The sequence below is a fragment of the Homo sapiens genome, chromosome 16 (assembly GCF_000001405.40).
Source record: "Homo sapiens chromosome 16, GRCh38.p14 Primary Assembly".
In the NCBI taxonomy this organism is placed as follows: Eukaryota; Metazoa; Chordata; class Mammalia; order Primates; family Hominidae; genus Homo; species Homo sapiens.
The window spans coordinates 74460850-74479077 of NC_000016.10; the positions used below are offsets into that span (position 1 = coordinate 74460850).

The following is an 18228-nucleotide window of genomic DNA, read 5'->3' on the forward strand; positions in this document are numbered from 1 at the left end:
CAAATCAAATACGAAAAGCAAACGCTTGACATTCACATAGGTTCAGGGTCAAACCAGACTCTCAACTTGAAAGTGTGCACACGCGCGTACCCGCACACACACGCACACATACACAGGAGTTGAGAAACACAGCCCACAGCAAAGACAAAAATATTAAGTTTCTTTGGACAGTTTTATGAGTGAGCTTTTTTGTAACAGCTTTTGTTATGAGCTCCTGAAATTAACATATGTTGAACACGCTCTCCACAAGGCCTTTTCTAGCTAAGAAGTCCAATAATCTCCAAAGATGGGCACTTCCTTACGGCCATTATAGAATTACTTTTTTTTTTTTTTTTTGAGATGGAACCTCGCTCTGTCGCCCAGGCTGGAGTGCAGCGGTGCAATCTCGGCTCACTGCAAGCTCTGCCTCCTGGGTTCATGCCATTCTCCTGCCTTAGCCTCCCGGGTAGCTGGGACTACAGGTATACGCCACCGGGCCGGGCTAATGTTTTTTTTTTTTAGTAGAGCTGGGATTTCACTGTGTTAGCCAGGATGGTCTCAATCTCCTGACCTCATGATCTGCCCGCCTCAGCCTCCCTAAGTGATGGGATTACAGGGGTGAACCACCTCGCCCGGGCTTTTTTTTTTTTTTTTTTTTTTGAGACAGAGTCTTCCTCTGTCGCCCAGGCTGGGGTGCAGTGGCATGATCTCAGCTCACTGCAACCTCCGCCTCCCGGGTTCAAGTGATTCTCCTGCCTCAGCCTCCTGAGTAGCTGAGATTACTGGTGCACGCCACCACGCCTGGCTAATTTTTTGTATTTTTAGTAGAGACAGATTTCTCCATGTTAGCCAGGCTGGTCTTGAACTCCTGACCTCAGATGATCCACCCTCCTTGGCCTCCCAAAGTGTTGGGATTACAGGCGTGAGCCACCGTGCCCAGCTGAAAGCACTTTTATCTTTCTGGCAGGTCTTGGGTTTACCATCCAGAATAAGAAGAAGGGAAGAACAAATTTACAGAGAGCTATAATGAAAGAACACCCTTGTTCAACAGAGAAATATGGAACAACGCTTTAGAGTGTCAGGACTAATGCCAAGTTGAATTCAGTGTTACAAAGAACAGGAATGCAGACCATGGAGAGCCTAGAAGATGGCCTTCAATTCACCAGATCATTCACGGCTGAAGGGAGAGAAAGTAAACAACTTTTCTCCAGTGGAAACTTCTCTGAGCAGCTCTGTGCGTAACCAGTTTTGCACGCAAATCCCACCTCGTCTGAGCAGTGCAGCTGGAGCTGAGGATCCAGGCGGTAGTCCAGGGCGGACTCCTGGATAATGATTCGGATCTGGTCTTCACAGTCTGAAGACAGGCGCTGCATGTGACAAAGGGAGGATACATGGGCTGATCAGAAAACGAAGCTTTTCTACAAAAGCAGGACATGAAAAAAAAAACAAACAACAACAACCACAAGAACAAGAAAAAAACAAAAAGAACAAGAAAAAACAAAATGCCTGCTTTTGATCTGGCCCCTTAGCCCCCCAGGTTCGGGAAGATATGAAAAAGGTCTTGGGAAAACGGGAGCAAGCTAGGGATTTCAAAAGAGAAAATTCCCAGGGACAGAGGCTCCATAAATACACCTTTGTGGAGAGCCCAGGCCAGTTTACCTGGTCAGCATATCTCAGCTTCAGGCAAGAGATGACTTGTCCTTCTAATTCTGAATCATCCTTGGCCTTAGTCAGGATACCGTGACAGAATTTAGGAATGTCAGCTTTACAGGCTTTTCTTAACATGGGGTTTAAGCGGTAATCTAGAGTAGAAAGCAGTGAGCATGTGACAAAACATTCCACCTGATTCACACATTTTTAGATATCCACCTTCCTAAAGGGAGCATATTATGTCAATGATCATGACTACAACCATGGATTTATCTATTCAATAAACATTTACTGAGCTCTCACTACACTGTTTTTAATCAGCAATATGACTTGTTAACGAGTACTTCTGGAGGTCCTCAGGAATCTTTCTACTCTGCGGGGTTTTGTGCAGACTCCAATACTCTAAGGAGTCCTCAGAAAAATCAAGGGGACATCAGCAACCTTCCCCATAACAGACACTTTTGAGAACACTGAAAAAGAAATACAATATCCAACTCACTGTGACCATTAACTTACGAGGTCTTCCAACTCAGAGGTGAAATGTTTCTGTTCCGAATCAGATTACCCGTACATTCTCCTGGCACACTCATGAAGTTTTATTGAATTTCTAGATTTTTCTTTCCAAGGACTGCCGGCCTGATTCCTTCTGAACGTTCTTTTAGGGCAGTTTTCTGGTTCTTGTGGCCTCCTCTCTCCCCTGACTCTCCCTCCATTTTTCTGGATGCTCCTCAAAGGAGGAAGGCCCTGCTTACACTCAGACTCCTCCCTTAAAATTCCCAGGCAACAAAGCCCTGGGAGTTTGAGCAGGTCACTCTACAGCCACTGAATTCCTTTTCAGATACTCCACGGGGCCAGGAGAGCCAAGCCAAGATCTTACCTGTGTTCTGGGTGATCTGGCGCTTGGTTATCATCTGTTTGCATTTGGGATCCATCAATTCACTGTTTTTATTTTGCTTCAAGCACTGCAACATGGTTTTAGAATCTGCTTCCGGACAGAACCTCTGCAAAGAAACAGTTTGATAAAAACAGCTATCTAAACATGGCGATTAACTCCATCTGCGACCACTTTTTTTTTTCTGGAGACGGAGTCTCACCGTGTCACCCAGGCTGGAGTGCAGTGGCGCAATTCGGCTTACTGCAACCTCCGCCTCCCGAGTTCAAGCGATTCTCCTGCTTCAGCCTCCCAAGTCAGCCTCCTGAGTAGCGGGGATTACAGGCGTGCGTCACCACGCCCAGCTCATTTTTGTGTTTTTTTTGTTGTTGTTGTTGTTGTTTTAGCAGAGATGAGGTTTCACCATGTTGGCCAGGCTGGTCTTGAACTCCTGGTATCAGGTGATCCACCCACCTGGGCTTCCCAAAGTGCTGGGATTACAGGCATGAGCCACCACGCCTGGCCACTTTTTTTTTTTTTAAGGCTAGTCAAGTGAAGCAACAGGAATGTAGAAGAACAAATAAATCTGTAAGTAGCTGTGATCAATTAGTTGTAAACAGCACCGCACTTGGACCAGCCTGTGGTCACCCTTAACATCTATCCAAAAGCTGATGAAAGCAGCAGCCTGAAGGCATCACGTGGTACAAGAGGAGCAGGTAGGCCTGAAAGAGCACCCCACCCCAACTTCCCCTTTCTTTCTTATTCTCTACTATTTCTCACATTTCTTTCTACTGCCTCACTGGTTCTTACACAGGATTGGTTCCCTATCTAGAGGGTGATGTTAAGTTTAATGGCATCTGAGGAACTTATTGTTTAAGCATGAATGTAACACTGTACCAGGTGGCTGTACAGCCCTCAAGCCCTACCTACCCAACTCTAGTGGGGAAACCTAGGAATTCTCCACTAACCAATGTGAACAAGGATGTGGGCTAAGGACCCACTTGGTTCATCTTAATTACAGGGCTATAATCCTACCAAGCAGTAAAGGGTAGGGTCCTGTACACTTACTGCTGTCCTTTAAGTCAGGGATCAGCTGTGGACTAGTAATAAACTCCCTATCCGTTCTGCTAATCCGCAAGTCTTCAAGTGTCACAGTGTCTGATAAACTCTGGTTGAGACACTTGAGCACTGAGCCTCTCTTCCTAGTTCTGTTTCTAGTTCTCTAAAGAGTGTGATTATAACCTGCTGACATCTTGTTATGGAGACATGGATTGTTCACTGACTTTTAGAAAATTTTCCAAAGCTCTCTCACATCAGAGCCTGACATTTCCATTTTTACATATGACTCAATTTCATCAGGCCAGTTAAAAAGACTTACATTCTAACTTTCAAAATTCTCTCTAGAATTTATTTGATAGTGTAAAAAGTAGCATTTTACTTTAAAGGAAAGCTGAAATAAAGGAGCTAGAACCTTTAGTTTAAGTTTAAAAAAAATTTTTTTTTTCTTTTTTGAGACAGAGTCTTACTCTGTCGCTCAGGCTGGAGTGCAGTGGCATGACCTTGGCTCACTGCAGCCTGCGCCTCCCAGGAGCGATTCTCTTGCCTCAGCCTCCTGAATAGCTGGGACTACAGGCATGTGCCACCACACCCGGCTAATTTTTGTATTTTTAGTAGAGACGGGGTTTCACCATGTTGGCCAGGCTGGTCTCGAACTCCTGACCTCAGGTGATCCTCCCGCCTTGGCCTCTGAAAGTGCTGGGATTACAGGCGTGAGCCACCGTGCCCTGCCGAACCTTGAGTTTAATGTATGTGTGGCGAGATCAGGGAACTGACATCTAGGTACTCAGGTCAGCCCTGCTGCAGGGAATACCTGCTGGAGGAGGGAATGAAGCAAAACAACCTGTAAAACAGAAAAATCTTCTGAATGTGCCAGATGGATGATCAGGACATTAGATGGTGACTTTCTTAGTACAGCTACTATTAATCGTCCTCAAAACCAATCATTTATTTATTGCACATCCATTTACTTGTGCCTCAGGTCAAAGTGAGGTCAGTTATCCCAGCTCTGTGGTTTCCAAACTTGAGCCTGCATCAGAACCCCCTAGGGAGGCAGCTAAGGCAGACTTCGTGCTCTACTCCCAGAGTTTCTGATTCAGCAGATCTGGAGGGGGGCCCAGGAACCCGCAGGCTCCCAGGGGGTGCTGCTGCTGCTGCTCGTCTAGGGACCACACTTTGAGAAAGCTGAGCCTGAGGAAGTTGCTGCCATTGTTTGTGCTTTGTTGTTTTGTTGTTCATCCGTGCTCGGCCTTTGGTGTCGGCTTCTCACCTTTATCATCTGCTTGCAGACCCTCATGAGGGTGTAGTCTAGCTCTGGGTCCATCATCTCTGTCTCCTGCAGCTTAAATACTTTTTGGTGGCAGCGGGTGCTTAGCTGCTTCTTGTTTTCTTTCAGACATTCGATAATCTATGGCAAAAGAGTTATAGTCAAGTTGAGAGATGTCAGAGACTGCTCATCCATGTGTTCTGATTGAAACATTCAGCTCCACTGTGCCTCCCATTTCTTTATCCATTTCTCATTCCCAGGCAATCGGAATCAGGATTTCCTTACCAAAGATAAGGATTTACAACCTTACAGCTGACAGCAAACCCAACTAGACAAAAACTCAGGATGACTGGCAGGCTGTGCTCCAGCCTAATGGAAAAGAAACACACCCACGATTTCTGGTTTCTTCTGCCTTCCAGAGCTGCTCCTTGTCCACATTCATTTTGGAGATAGGCTCTCTGCATTTTCCCAGAGCAACAGCTCCGACTAGACAGTGGGCACAAACCAGGAGGTTCAATTCAACCCACTATTTACCACCTGAGAAAGACTACTGGATGCTAGATATGAATCAGACCCAATTCTCAGCCTGATAAATTCACAGCTACACAGGGCAAACTTATGTAAACAAGTAACTATGATTAGAAAAAGATGAGTTATCACTCAAAATACAAAAGCATAAAGTGTCATGAAATGAATTTTAAGGTAGTGAATTAAGTATATCCTGAAATCTTCCCTTCCCTAAACCTTCAGATATCATGAAAAGAAAGAAGGAAAGCAGATGGGAAGGTGCAGCAGCTGGGGCTATCGCAGGAAGCCATGAGACTTCCGGGAAATCGTCAAGGCATGGCCAAGAATCACTAACTAGTTGAGGAACACTAATATCATAAGAAAGATGATAAATAAAATGAACCAAGGAGTCAAAAACTGAGGGAAAGGGGTAATAGAGCAATCAAAACAGAATTTTAAAATATACTTAAAATCCTCAGAACAACACAGAAGACAACAGTAAATAAGAATCAAGAATAGGTAGTTATGAAAAGAAGCAATGAGAAAGCTAGGAAATGAAAAACAAAACTTGATTGGTGGTCTCCTGGAGCAGAATGGACAAAGCTGAAGAATAAATTATATGCTGGGAAAGAGAACTGAGGAGTTACCTAAAATGTAGTACAAAGAAATGAAAAGTACCAAAGAAAAAGTTAAAGAGACATGGAAGACGGACTCAGATGCTCCAATTGCCTAACACGAGTTCCAGAAGGAAGGAAAGGGAAAGCAGTATGTGAAAGAGCAATGACTGAGAATGTCCCAGAACTGAAGGAACACATAGATTGTGAGATTGAAAGAGCCAACCGGAAACACACACAAAACAAAAACCATACCTAACCACATCACACTGAAACTACAGATCATTACAGACAAAGAGAAGACTCTAAAACCTATCAGAAACAGATTAACTACAAAGCAATGAGACTTATATTGACATCAGACTTTGCATCAGCAACAGTCTGATACAAGAGGACAATGAAGTAATTATCTCAAAGGCTGAAGCCCCATGGCAATGCCCTTAACTAGAAGAGGTAGCCGAGTAGTAACGAGAACATTTTTTTAAAAATCATTTGTTTGTATGTACTTCACTCCTGACAATTCTGGATAGGGTCCTGCTTCTGTCTATTAAAAAAAAGTGTCCTAGGTGATTCTGATGTGACGTCTAGTTAAGAACTTCTGTGCAATGGGAACACAGTGAAGTAACGGTTAATTTTGGAGGTGCAGAGCATTGAGAATGCTACAGAGGAGGAGGCATCTGAAGGATCATTAGGAGCTTACTAGGCAGACAAGGTAGGGAAGGATGAGGTAACCTGAAAGAGGGAAGAAAATGAGTTAGAGAGGAGTGCAGGTGAAGAACCCAAGGAAACGCAGCCTGATGTAGTTTAAGAAGGGATTAGGTTGGAAGGGATGAGATGGGTCCTGTCTCACCAGCAAAAAATTCATGACTAAAATGTTACCTTATGGGCACTAGCTTTTGAGAAAACATTAAATATTACCTTCACATTACTTTTACAATTACAAAAGAAAAGCAAAAAGTTACCTGAGCGTTGCCATATTGCACAGCGGAACAGAAGTTTTTGATGTCACTCTTGCAGGCTTCGTATAGATCTGGCTCCAAGCGGATGTCCTCCGTCTGCATGAGGGAGCCAGCATGGAAAGGTGAGCTTGGTTTAGGCTGGAGATGTCATATGTTCTGGAGACTTATTTGTTGACTGCATCTTGTCTAGTGACCCTGGCTTCTACATAGCAAAGTCGCCTTGCAGCAAGAGAATCAGGCTTTACTTTCAATTCTGTCACCAAATAGCTGCATGGCCTTGGACCTTCTTTGCAAAACACAATGCCAAGTCTACCCTGAAACACCTTATTTAGTCCTTCACAGGACTGCTGAGATGTGAAAATCACTTTGGAAAGTCAAAACCATTATATAAATGTAGAGTTCTACTTTTATTATTACTTTAATGAAAGAGCTAGGCTCAAAGTTAGGGAACCAAATCTTCCAGCTTGAAATGTCTTTTTTTTTTTTTTTTTTTTTTTTTTTGGAGACAGAGTCTTGCTCTGTCACCCAGGCTGGAGTACAGTGGCACCATCTCGGCTCACTGCAAACTCCATCTCCCGGTTCAAGTGATTCTCCTGCCTCAGTCTCTCAAGTAGCTGGGATTACAGGTATGTGCCACCACAGCTGGCTAAATTTTGTATTTTTAGTAGAGATGGGGTGTCGCCATGTTGGCCAGGCTGGTCTTGAATTACAGACCTCAAGTGATTTGACCGCATTTGCCTCCCAAAGTGCTGGAATTACAGGCATGAGCCACCTCGCTGGCCTAAGTCTCTTTTAGTACAGGCAGGGTTTCATCACGTTGGCCAGGCTGGTTTTGAACTCCTGACCTCAAGCGATCCACCTGCCTCGGCCTCCCAAAGTGCTGGGATTACCTGCATGAGCCACAGCACCCAGCCCCTGAGGACATTACTGATCCAGTGATTGGATCACATGCTTAGTTAGAGCCTGTCTTACAGCTGGACTTCCAGTTACATGTGGGAAGAAAGGTTTTATCATTCAAAATCAAAAGAATGACACAGGAAGCTAATGGTCGTATGTTAAAACTTTTGCACAGGACTTCAAGTCTTAACCATCACAGTAGTGGATAAAATGCCTCCCCCTTGCCCTAGCCTCTCCCCAGCTTTCCAAGCCCTGGCCCACTGTGGTTTCTGGGAGCAGAGGCTGGGAGGCATTACCATCTCCAGCTCCTCCACACGGAGCTGCCTGCGGCACTTCAGGGACACCCTGTGCTCCTTGGCTTCCTGCAGAGTGTCATTGCGCACGGTCGTGCTCAGGCAGATCACCACGTCCACCCTGCAGACGAAAGAAGCTTGAGGCTGGCTGGGGCCACACAAGGGCAGATGGCCTGAGAGCTGGGCTTGGGGGGGGTCACACCATTAAGAATTCAAGATGCCCTTTGGGGGAATGTCTTTCCTGTAAGGCTCACTGTATTTTTTTTCAGGGTGCTAAAAGCTGCAATTTGACTGTGGGTGTCATGAAAGGCAGGCAGCAGCATGAATGCTGACTACATTCCTGACAGAAGGGGAAGCCACACAGGGCACATGTGTGCAACGACAGTTCAACATCTGTGTTAAAAACATGTGACCACAGAGGAATGCTGCTCTTAACTCTAGGACTGTACTTTTGACCTACTGTGAAACTCACTCCTGAAAGGTAGAGAAACCTGAGCAAATTGGGAATTTGGTTTGTATGAGGGCAAGTGTTCTAGAAATGGTCCTTTCAAAGAGCAACATGGAAGAATTTGGACAGTCACGCTGAAAAAGCTCATCAGTTTCCTCAAAAAGACTTAATTCTTAAATGAATAAAGATTCTGTTTCTTCACTAAATATCTAATCCAATACAAAAACTGCTGCATCTTAGATGAGATGACATAACGGGACGACGCAGGGAAGAGGTCAGTTCGCCTCTTTCACTCACACTGCACCCTGCTTCTCTAAGTACACAATCCAGCCCTACTTGGTCAGTTAGATGGCCTGACCTGGAAAAATTAAAAATGCTCCTTTAGCCTATGGGACCTCCATGTGAGAACTACCATCGCCAGATGCTCTGTCCAGACAGTCCGAGTGTTTGCCACGCTAATCAAAGGAGAGATGCGGGAGGCCTCCAGGGCTAACCCCACGAGGCAGCAGGAGGGCTGCCTAACATCTCGCATACTCATTCCGGAGCTAAGAGGAACTTCGGGAAAGTGGAATGAAACAACTACAAGCTACATACTTCTTTTTTATGTTTGGGCAAAGCTTCAACACGTCCTCCTTGCAGGCCATTTTAAACTTGTAAGAAAACCGAAAATCCTTCATCTGCACCTGAAAGGTAAAGAGAAAGAAAGTCAGAAGTTTTGTGGCAACTTGTGGTCAGTAGTGGTAGGGCGCACTTTTTCATATAGCTCTCACAAGCCTGTTTACAAGACCCTGCATGGCTTGACCCACACGTGAGACATCACGACCTGCTCATCTCTCCAGTACTCCCCCTACAACAGGCAGGCTTCCTTCCTTCCTTCCCTCCCTCCCTCCTTCCTTCCTTTCCTTCCTTCCTTCCCTCCCTCCCTCCTTCCTTCCTTTCCTTCTTTCCTTCCCTCCTTCCTTCCTTCCCTCCTTCCTTCCTTCCCTCCCTCCTTCCTTCCTTCCCTCCCTCCTTCCATCCATCCATCCTAAATAAAAATAGGACATATATTTGTAATTTTTTTTTTTTTTTTTTTTTGACAGAGCCTCTCTCTTGTCATCCAGGCTGGAGTGCAGTTGTGCGATCTCGGCTCACTGCAACCTCTGCCTCCCGGGTTCAAGTGATTCTCCTGCCTCAGTCTCCCGAGTAGCTGGGATTACAGGCACCCGCCATCACGCCAGGCTAATTTTGTATTTTTTGTAGAGACAGGGTTTCACCATGTTAGCCAGGTTGGTCTCGAGTTCCTGACCTCAGGTGATCAGCCTGCCACAGCCTCCCAAAGTGCTGGAATTACAGGCGTGAGCCACCATGCCCGGCTGGAAAAAATGATTTTTTTGTTGTTGCTGTTGAGATGGAATCTTGCTCTGTTGCCCAGGCTGGAGCGCAGTGGCGATCTCGGCTCACTACAACCTCCGCCTCCCAGGTTCAAGCAATTCTCCTGCCTCAGCCTTTGAAACAGCTGGGATTACAGGTGTGTGCCACCATGCCTGGCTAATTTTGTATTTTCAGTAGAGACGGAGTTTCACCATGTTGCTCAGGTTGGTCTTGAACTCCTGGCCTCAAGTGATCCACCCACCTCAGCCTCCCAAAGTGCTGGGATTACAGGTGTGAGCCACCACGCCTGGCTGGAAAAAAATGACTTTTAACAGAACATCAGAGGTGCTCTGATGTTCCAAAAAAGGAAAGGATTCAGTCAACATCCAGGCAGCTATGATGGGATATTGGCAGCCAGGTGTCACTGACCAGCTGGAAGTGGGTAACTCCGATGGCACACTTCTCGTTCATGTCCTTCTGGTGTTTGTTCTGTATCAGACACTCCATCAGGTCCCCAGAGTCTATCTGGTTATCTGCCACATCCTGGGGAAGACAGCATGCATTTACACTTCATTGGTAACAATTAATGAACAAAACTTGTAGCCCAGTCCGAAACAAATGCAAGCAAGGTTAGTTCTAGAAGCCCTCACAAAAAAAAGACACACCATAAATTGTAATCAAAATAAGCCTGAAGAATCACAATGGTATACATTCAGTGGCATAAAACTAACACAGCACTGTGTTCCGTATAAGACATGATATACGCTTTTTTTTTCACTTTCCGAAAAGCAGCTGGCTTTTGGGACAATATCTAACATAGCCTCCCAACTGTCAGATCCTAATGGTTCCTGGGTATGTTTCACTCCCACAATTTAAATAGTTCAGTAAATGAATATGAAATAGTCAGAATTCACTCAATATTGAGGTACTAGGAGACAGTTGGAAGAAGGAGCCACTATTACTGCTAACAATTCCTGGGCAGATGCTAACAATTCCTAGGCTGATGTACTGGAATCAACCCTGCATACTAATGGGGGTTTCCCTGTTCCATCTCTTCTTAAAAAGGGCAACTCAGTAACTGCTGCTGGCCACATACCTGTTTTTACCTACAAAAGCTAATCAAACACAGGTTCCAGGATGGTAGCATCTCTCTCTCGATCTTGTTTACTTTTTCTTTTTTAGACAGGGTCTCACTCTGTTGCTTAGGCTGGAGTGCAGTGGCACAATCACGGCTCACTGCAGCCTCGACCTCCTGAGCTCAAGTGATCCTCCCACCTCTGCCCCCTAGGTAACTGGAACTACAGGTGTGTACCACCACGCCCAGCTAATTTTTTCTATTTTTTGTAGAGACAGAGTTTTGCCATGTTGCCCAGGCTGGTCTTGAAATCCTGGGCTCAAGTGCTCCTCCTTGGCTTCAAAGTGCTGGGATTACAGGTATTGGTCACCACACCCGGCCTGTTTACATTTTTAATTTTAACTTGTCAAAGCTGGCTAACACTCAAGAGTAATACATGCTGCAGACAGAGGTGAGTCTGAGATACTCAGGGGAGAGTCCCTGTCAATTTGTTTCTGTTTTTAACCCTTGCTCCTCCAGACATCACTTACGTGGCAGAAGTTCTGAATTATGGGCTCACAGGCTCTCATCAGCAAGGCTTCTATTTGAATATCCTGTAGAAAATTAAATATATTAATACTTCTGCTTTAGAAAGAGCCAGGGTGGAGGAGGAGCAGTTTCTCTTTCTGAATCAGTAATATCTGATGGGCAAATAATCTAATACATACTTTTGGAAACGATTCTAGTATTTGAAGTAGATAGCCCCAGAATAAATATAGAACTGCTCCTCCGTTATACTTTGAAAGGCAAATTTTTAAAGACATATTCCCTTTCGGCCTGAACAAATGAGAAGGCAGAATTAAGAAAAGTGAGGTAAAAACACATGTAGCAATAACATTAGAGTATGCAAAGCCTTTGCAGATTTTCCCAAAATGCTAAGTAGTTCAAAATGAAAACAGGGGTAACTGATATCCATCTTCAGTTTATAAGCTCATAAGCCAGAGCACTGCCCTCAAAGCAGATGCCAAACCACTGTTACTGGGGAACACATACTAATAATGCCTTTAAAGAGAGAAACCCGTGCAACACTAGCTCCTGAAAAAACACCTTCCTTTAAAGAGCTATACACCCAGACTGCTCTCATAAGTCCATGATGACAATGATAATGTGAGAGATGACGACGAAATGAGAGAAGGCAATGAACTTCTGAAAACTAGAAAGCAAAAAAGAACTGGTTGAGAAACGTAATTTTACATTATGACAATTCAAATAGAGTACTAAAAGGTTTAAGACAAAATGGTAGTTCCCCACTTCTCTGATTTCTGGCCCCACAAAATAACTTTAACATGTTTAGCTGCCCTCCTCTGTATTTCTAAATAACATCCCAGTGCTTTATGAGGGTTTCTAATCCCCCTTTTTTTTTTTCTTTTTATTGAGACGGAGTCTGGCTCTGTGGCCCAGGCGGGAGTGCAATGGTGCAATCTCGGCTCACTGCAACCTCCGCCTCCCGGGTTCAAGTGATCCTCCTGCCTCAGCCTCCCAAGTACCTGGCACTACAGGCATGTTTTACCACGCCCAGCTAATTTTTGTATTTTTAGTAGAAACGGGGTTTCACCATGTTGGCCAGGATGGTCTTGACCTTTTTTTTTTTTTTTTTTGAGACATAGAGTCTCGCTCTGTTGCTCGGGCTGGAGTGCAGTGGCGTGATCTCGGCTCACTGGAAGCTCCGCCTCCCGGGTTCACGCCACTCTCCTGCCTCAGCCTCCCGAGTAGCTGGGACTACAGGCACCCGCCACCACACCTGACTAATTTTTTTGTATTTTTAGTACAGACGGGGTTTCACCGTGTTAGCCAGGATGGTCTCGATCTCCTGACCTTGTGATCCGCCCGCCTCGCCTCCCAAAGTGCTGGGATTACAGGTGTGAGCCACTGCACCTGGCCTCTAATCCCATTTTTAAAATATTTTAGTGGGTTTCAGGATGGAACAGGGATAAACATACGTATTCAATCTTCCATGCTTAGCTGGAAGTCCTCAGCTTTTATGTTCTGAAACACACAAACATTACCAAATGACCTAACTAAAAGAGCGAGGGATGAGAGAACGGGAATGTGTAGATTGCTCTTGAATGTGACTGTGATGTGAAGTACTGCTGCTATTTTTTTTTTTTTTTTGAAACACAGTCTCCCACTCTGTTGCCCAGGCTGGAGTACAGTGGCGCAATCTAGGCTTACTGCAACCTCCGCCTCCCGGGTTCAAGTGATTCTCCTGCCTCAGCCTCCCAAGTACGTGGCACTACAGGCGTGTTTCACCACACCCAGCTAATTTTTGTATTTTTAGTAGAGACGGGGTTTCACTATGTTTGGCAAGCTGGTCTCGAACTCCTGACCTCGAGATCCGCCTGCCTCGGCCTCTCAAAGTGCTGGGATTCAAGGCGTGAGCCACCGCTCCCGGCCGTACAGCTGCTATCTTAAGGGAGAAACAGAGGCAAGTCTAATGACTATGATAAACCTAATTTATGAAGAAAACCAAAGGGCTGTATAGAGTGTTGTTCTAGAGAAATGAGGGAAGGAGCTCACAAAGCAACACAATATACTTCTTTATAAAGCAAACATGGAAAATTTGATCAGGTTTCTTTTGATTGACAGAAAATCTGCACTCTCAGGAGTCTAGAAACAGTAGAATCAAACACAAAAGGCCAGGATGCTGGCAGCCACTCTCCTCCAATGAGTAAGCTGCATACCACTTACCTCTGATTCTAACTCAGTGAGGTTGCCAACTATATCTCTACACTCCACCACCAAGTCATCCAGATGGTCCTGAAGGCACTCCAGCTCCTGCAAATATAAAGGCAAGCCACTGGCATTTATCAGTCACATACATGAACAAGGCAAGGGGAGATATCAGCGTCATGACACTTCCCTTTTCAGTGGTCCTCCTTTCTCTTCTTTTTAAAATTACCTCACTGAACAGGACACAAAAGCTTTGTTTAATTCCCCAGACTGAGATTGTTGAAAAGATAATTACTTCATGTAGCAGGTTGGTTATGAGGGCCAAGTGGGCACAAGAGCCATGCAAAGGCTGGGCATGATGGCTCACACCTTTGATCCCAGCACTTTGGGAGGCTGAAGTGGGCAGATCACCTGGGGTCAGGAGTTCGAGACCAGCCTGGCCAACACAGTGAAACCCCATCCCTACTAAAAATACAAAAATTACCCGGGTGTGGTGGTGGGTGCCTGTAATCCCAGCAACTCAGGAGGCTAAGGCAGGAGAATTGCTTGAACCCAGGAGGCGGGGGCTGCAGTAAGCCAGGATCGTGCCACTGCACTGCAGCCTGGGCAACAAGAGTGAAACTCCGTCTCAAAAAAAAAAAAAAAAAAAAAAAAGAGCTGTGCAAATCCCTCAGAAGACCAAATCTACAAGTGCAAGGAGAATCAATCTTCAAGTGTCCTCAAAGTCTAAAAACCTTATCAGGCCTTGATTCTATTTTCAATCTGTGCTTTGATAATTTCTCATCTCTCATTTTAAATATGCACTTTAATAATGATCATCAGACAAATTCACAGTGAAGAGCACAGATTATTTTAAGACTCTTTATTGGCAAAGTAATTGGGAACCAGGGGTCTGGAACACAGGATACAACTGATAGCTCCTGCAAGTCAGATCTGGGATTCTAACTCCAGTACACATCAAAAGGGTCCTCTGAAGAAAAACAAGTGAACACACTAGGGTTTGGGTACTTAAAAGCTATCTTGTGTGGGCTTTGGAAACCGAGCTGGAGCTATCTGTAGCATTAGTCTATTACTATTCCTTCTAGAGGTTTACAGGTTTAGAGGTTTCAAGTATAATATCAGCTCACTTTCACAAAGCATATCAACAGCTATTTCTTAGCAAAGTGCTCTGTTAAAGGATCAAGTTTAACTTACTATTCTGCAAGAATCTCTCTGTTTCAGAATTAGAATGTGAGGGGAAGAGAGGAGTTGTAGGAATTATACAACAGCCAGAATGGAAGAAGAAGAAGAAATAAAAAAGCTAAAGGAAAATACCCCAAACTTTTGGGAGTAAAATAAATGGCTAAGAGAAACATCCTATTAATAGAATCCTGGCTGGTCTCAGTGGCTCACACCTGTAATCCTAGCACTTTGGGAGGCCAAGACAGGTGGATTGCCTGAGCTCAGGAGTTAGAGACCAGCATGGGTAACATGGTGAAACCCTGTCTCTACTAAAATACAAAAAATCAGGTGGGTGTGGTGGCAGGTGCCTGTAATCCCAGTTACTAAGGAGTCTGGGGCACAAGAATTGCTTGAACCCGGGAGGCAGAGGTTGCAGTGAGCCGAGATCGTGCCACTGCACTCCAGCATGGGTGACAAAGTGAAACTGTCTCAAAATAAAAAAAAAAAAGAATTCTTAAGTTTAGCTTCTCCATGACGGGCTGCAATGTAGTGCAGCTTTCTAAAGTTTACTTTACTCGGGGTTCTAAAGGAAACTATTTTCTGGGATTCCAAATCACCATATCCCTTGTTTCATTGGACAGAGGCAACAGAAAGCTCAACTATAAGCATTTTCTAACAATATACCCAACAGAACTGTAGCAGGCTCAGGAAACAGACTGCTGAACATGATAGTCCTATGCTCAACAGACCTGAGTAGGCAACCATGTTTCTCCTTTAAAATGTCCAATTCCTGTACGTGTGACTTTTTCATACTGTACTTCCAGAGGGGGTTTTGTAGTGGTACAAATGGAACCCAGAAACCTGAGTTCACTCCTTATTTATGTGGCTTTAAACACGCAGTATTCCTACTGCTGAGTATCCTGCATTCAGATGGAAGACAGCTAGCTTCCCACATGACCTGCAGTCATGCATCTTTCCTTCTTTCCCTTAAACTGGGACACAATCCTAAGGAGCCAATCACAGCACTCAGGGAATTTTTGGGGGCTGCTCCTTCCCTCTGCTTCCTAGATGGAGAGGCTATATAATGAACTGAACTGAATTTTAGGTAAGGGAATGTATACACTTAACTTCTCTGAGCTTCAATTTGTCAACCAGGTGAGAAAAAATTCCATTTCTACATGTTTTTTGGGACTGTTCTAGGGCATGCCCACTATTCATGCAGACCAGTACTCACATACGCACAGATTTACACCCTGCTTATCTCAAAAGGACTTAATGGAGAAAATGAATTAAAAATGAGTAAAATGAATAAAGAAGAGAAACAAAAAGGAAAGGAAAGAGGATGTGAAATGGAGCCAGTAGTAAGCTTTCTACAAAAATGCCTACCATGAAATCTTATATACCTGTAAGAGGCAGGCCATACCATTGGCTCTAGAAGTTTTAATAAGCAACAGGAAGAGGGAAAATAATCAATTACAAAATACAATAACTATAATGCAAACACAAACTCACTGCCAACTATTCCTGATACAAAGACCAGAGAGAAAATTTTCCTGAGAATTTCTTCCAGAGAAAATATTGAACAATACAACAAATCACATCTGTAAGGTAAAGAGAGATGGATTTTATGGTGTTTGTACTCTGCATAAAATGTTAAACATTAACATCATCATTATTGTAAGACAAACAGAAAGCGATGTCACCTACCTGTCCAGTCTCTGTTTTCTCACTGCACCATTTTCCCAGATCAATCAGGCACTTATCCTGGAGGGCAGGATCCAGCTTGACATCCATGGCACGCTGGTGTAGGATCCTTTGGACTTCAGCTCGGCACTCCCGTGAGAGCTGCATGAGAAAAAATGAGCTAAATACTTGAAAGGTAACAAAACAAAAACACAAAGATATGAGATAAACCTGCTATGAGGAAACTAACAAATAACCCTGTATTTTATCTCCCAAATTTTATACCTCAAATATCTTCCAGAATAAAAATTAAATGTTGCGGCCAGGTGCGGTGGCTCACGCATGTAATCCCAGCACTTTGGGAGGTCGAGGCGGGCGGATCACCTGAGGTCGGGAGTTTGAGACCAGCCTGACCTACATGGAGAAACCCTGTCTCTACTAAACACACAAAATTAGCCAGGCATGGTGGCACATGCCTGTAATCCTAGCTACTCGGGAGGCTGAGGCAGAAGAATCGCTTGAACCCGGGAGGTGGACATTGTGGTGAGCTGAGATTGCACTACTGCACTCCAGCCTGGGCAACAAGAGCGAAACTCCGTCTCAAAAAAATAAATAAATAAATAAATAAATAAATAAATAAATAAAATGTGCAAGAGGCTTCGAAAAGCCCATATCTTTAGCAATGCGATTATACATATTCAGCAGTTTCTAATATACTATATAAACAACATTCTTTTATGACAGTATCCTGATAAAAGTGAACTGGCTTCATTCAGACTAGGTTAGTTGGAAAGTTTTGTGTTTGTTGTTTTGCTTAGCAAAACTAATGTGTCAGTCTATGAACACCAGGTAGAAGGTCAGATCCAATTCAAGAGAGCATATACACTTGACTCAGGAGAAATGAGTTCAAATTGACCTAAATCAGAAAAAGCAGGAAAATGTAGATATAACATTATGAGATAGGACTGGACTCTTCTAGATGAGCTATGAAGAATTAGCAGAGGGTAAAGCAGGTGAAAACTAGTATTTTTCCAAGGGCCATGACAAAGCTGTTATTGACAGATACAGTTAGTCTCTCTTGCAAAAAAAGAAAAAAAAGCCAGCATACCTGGGGCAGGAGGGATGGAAAGTAACTGTTTAATGAACACAGGGTTTCCTTTTGGAGTCATGGAGTGTTTTGAAACTAGACAGACATGATGACCACACAACACTGTAAATGTACTAAATGTCACTGAATTTTTCTCTTTAAAATGGTTAAGACCAGGAGCGGTGGCTCACACCTGTAATCCCAGCTCTTTGGGAGGCTGAGGCGGGCAGATCACCTGAGGTCTGGAGTTCGAGACCAGCCTGACCAATATGGAGAAACCCCATCTCTACTAAAAATACAAAAATTAGCCGGGCGTAGTGGCGCATGCCTGTAATCCCAGCTAATCTGGAGGGTGAGGCAGGAGGCGGAGATTGTGGTGAGCCGAGATCACACCACTGCACTCCAGCCTGGGCCAACAAGAGTGAAACTCCGTCTCAAAAAAAAAAAAAAGGGGGGGGTTATTTTGGCCAGGCGCAGTGGCTCACACCTCTAATCCCAGCACTTTGGGAGGCCCAGGTGAGTGGATCACCTGAGGTCAGGAGTTCAAGACCAACCTGGCCAACATGGAGAAACCCCGTCTCTATTAAAAATCCAAAAAAAAAAAAAAAAAAAAAAAAAA

At 44.3% G+C, this 18228-nt stretch overlaps 1 protein-coding gene across 5 annotated transcripts in view, besides 1 other annotated feature; it reads right to left on the reverse strand.

Moving 5' to 3' along the window:
- The window catches only part of GLG1 (golgi glycoprotein 1), a 159675-nt gene that overhangs the window by 13410 nt on the left and 128037 nt on the right, over positions 1–18228 (reverse strand). For 4 of the 5 annotated variants that reach the window (NR_027265.2, NM_001145666.2, NM_012201.6 and 1 more), the window contains 11 exons: positions 16547–16684; positions 13697–13783; positions 11500–11562; positions 10324–10437; positions 9136–9224; positions 8097–8214; positions 6907–6999; positions 4827–4964; positions 2507–2630; positions 1639–1781; positions 1245–1346 (listed from right to left, as the gene is read on the reverse strand). Coding sequence is in view for 3 of the 5 variants with exons in the window: in NM_001145666.2 (NP_001139138.1) it covers positions 1245–1346; positions 1639–1781; positions 2507–2630; positions 4827–4964; positions 6907–6999; positions 8097–8214; positions 9136–9224; positions 10324–10437; positions 11500–11562; positions 13697–13783; positions 16547–16684 (1209 nt within the window). In the remaining 2 variants the exon portion in view is untranslated. Of the gene's footprint in view, positions 1–1244; positions 1347–1638; positions 1782–2506; positions 2631–4826; positions 4965–6906; positions 7000–8096; positions 8215–9135; positions 9225–10323; positions 10438–11499; positions 11563–11676; positions 11786–13696; positions 13784–16546; positions 16685–18228 lie in introns of all 5 variants that reach the window. The other variant, NR_027264.2, reaches the window with a different exon arrangement.
- Positions 1266–2465: an enhancer, noted in NCBI's record as "MED14-independent group 3 enhancer chr16:74496013-74497212 (GRCh37/hg19 assembly coordinates)". NCBI's record gives its function as "activates an origin of replication core promoter dependent on BRD2, BRD4, P300/CBP and CDK7 cofactors, and independent of MED14, by STARR-seq in HCT116 cells {active_cell/tissue: HCT116}" and the evidence as "EXISTENCE:reporter gene assay evidence [ECO:0000049][PMID:35650434]".